The 2279-nt window shown below is 46.9% G+C and overlaps 1 annotated feature.

The window, feature by feature from the left end:
• Nucleotides 1545-2072: an enhancer, noted in NCBI's record as "NANOG hESC enhancer chr16:57907038-57907565 (GRCh37/hg19 assembly coordinates)". NCBI's record gives its function as "activates a minimal SCP1, AML or CMV promoter by ChIP-STARR-seq in primed H9 embryonic stem cells {active_cell/tissue: H9 hESC(primed)}" and the evidence as "EXISTENCE:reporter gene assay evidence [ECO:0000049][PMID:30033119]".

Here is a 2279-nt window from a genome sequence, read left to right as displayed (position 1 = left end):
ACTAAAAATACAAAAAGTAGCCGGGCGTGGTGGCACGCGTGTGTGGTCCCAGATGCTCGGGAGGCTGAGGCAGGAGAATTGCTTGAACCCGAGAGGTGGAGGTTGTGGTGAGCCGAGATCACACCACTGTACTACTCCAGCCTGGGTGACAGAGCAAGACTCTGTTAAAAAAAAAAGAAAAAAAAAGGAAGAAGATTCAAAGGATGCTTGATAAACTCATTGTAACCAAAAAATTGTGAGTAACATTTCCTAGATTCAATTTCCTGAGCACTATCTCCTTCGATATCTCTTCTGAAATGAAAAGAAAGACGGCCTGAGTGCCCTTATTTAATTTATTTATTTTTTGAGATGGAGTATTGTTCTGTTGCCCAGGCTGGAGTGCAATGGCGTGATCTCAGCTTACTACAACCTCTGCCTCCCGAGTTCAAGTGATTTCCGGCTAATTTTTGTATTTTTGGTAGAGATGCGGTTTCACCATGATGGCCAGGCTGGTTTCGAACTCCTGACCTCAAGTGATCCTGCCACCTTGGGCTCCCAAAGTACTGGGATTACAGGCGTCAGCCATTGCTCCTAGCCCTTGTATTATTCTTTCAATGGGCATAAGGTGTTGGCATCTCCAGGGGGTCCTCTTCCCTGGTCACCATGGTTGAGTTCCAGATTTAGCAAGTAAAAATACAGAAAGCCCAGGTAAATTTGAATTTCAGATAAACAATGAAGGTTTTTTTTTTTAAGCTTAAGTATATCTCATGCAATACTTGGGATATACTTATGCTAAAAAAAATTGTTATTTATCCAAAATTCAAATTCAACTTGGTGCCCTGTGTTTTTATCTGGCAATTCTGCAAGGTGAGGATGAGTGTCTCTCCTGCCCAGAGCAATTGGGGCTGCACCCTCTAGGGCCAACCTTGGGCCAGAGCCATCCTGGCATGCCCCTTCTCCAGAGCCAATCATGATTGGTGGAGGAAGAGGGAAAGCACCCACCCCAGGCTGCTGTTAGTGGTTTTTGTTTTTTATAGAGATGGGGTATCATTATGTTGCCCAGACTGGTCTAGAACTCCATGCCTCAAGCAATCCTTCTGCCTCCTTGCTGGGATTACAGGCATGTACGACCACGTCCAGCCTGTCCTGTCAGTGTTTCATTGTTCTTGTTTTTGAGACAGGGTCTTGCTCTGTCACCCACGCTGGAGTACAGTGGTTCAATCACAGCTCACTGCAGCCTCGACCTCCAGGACTCAGGTGATCCTCCTGCCACAGACATGCACCTCCACACCTGGCTATTTTTTTTTAACTATTTGTAGAGACGGGGGATAGGGGGTGGTGGGGACAAGTCGGGGGTCTCCCTATGTTGCCCAGGCTGGTCTCGAACTCCCTAACTCAAACAATCCTTTCATCTTGGCCTCCCAAAGTGTTGAGATTACAGATGTGAGCCACCACGTCTGGCCTGCCAGTGGTTTTTTAATATTTATCTTTATTAATTTTATCCTGAATGCACACACACAGGTGTTTGGGATCAGAGACAGATTTTATATTAATTACCTTTTAGCAAATAATAAGTACATAGCCTCCGCTCCCAGCCTCCCCTTAAGCCTTACTCCTGGCCAGGAAATGTCCCGTGCAAGTAGCCTGACACTCCATAGATGAAGGACAAGTTTTCTCTGCTTATAAAGGCGAAGGAGGTAGCTATTCCCCTCCCTTTTTGAAAGGGTCTCCTTGGAAACTTAATGGGCCCGAAACCTAACCCCAGCCCTTTGATATGTAAATAAAGCCTCACCCGGAACGAGATAGCCCCAGGTGTCTCAGCTTTAACCACCTGGAGGGGTCTTCAAGTTCTGGGACTTTCTCCCTTTGACATATAAATACCTAGGGAGATAGCGCCGGAGTCTTCCCGGCATTTTGGAGCTAGCCAAGAGACCTAGGCTCGGCTGTGGCCATTTGGCCGTCTCCCGGAGGGAGGTGAGAGAAGCTTTAGGATCCTTTCTAATCAAGGCAGTTAACTAGACAAATGGCTCCAGAGCGCATTATCAAGAGTCTCGGGAGACTGGGTCCCCACCTTTCACATTTCCAAATTTCTTCCTTTTCTTTCCTTCCTTCCTTCCTTTCTTTTTTCTTTTCTTTTTTTTTTTTTTTTTTTTTTTGACAGAGTCTCGCTCTGTCGCCCAGGCTTGAGTGCAGTGGTGCAATCTTGGCTCACCGCAACCTCCGCCTCCCAGACTAAAGCAATTCTCCTGCCTCCGCCTCCAGAGTGTCTAGAAATACAGGTGCGCGCCACTACCGCCCGG

The sequence above is a fragment of the Homo sapiens genome, chromosome 16 (genome assembly GCF_000001405.40).
Source record: "Homo sapiens chromosome 16, GRCh38.p14 Primary Assembly".
Lineage (NCBI taxonomy): Eukaryota > Metazoa > Chordata > Mammalia > Primates > Hominidae > Homo > Homo sapiens.
Note: the sequence above shows the minus strand (reverse complement) of the source record. Positions and strands in the feature narration are given on the sequence as shown.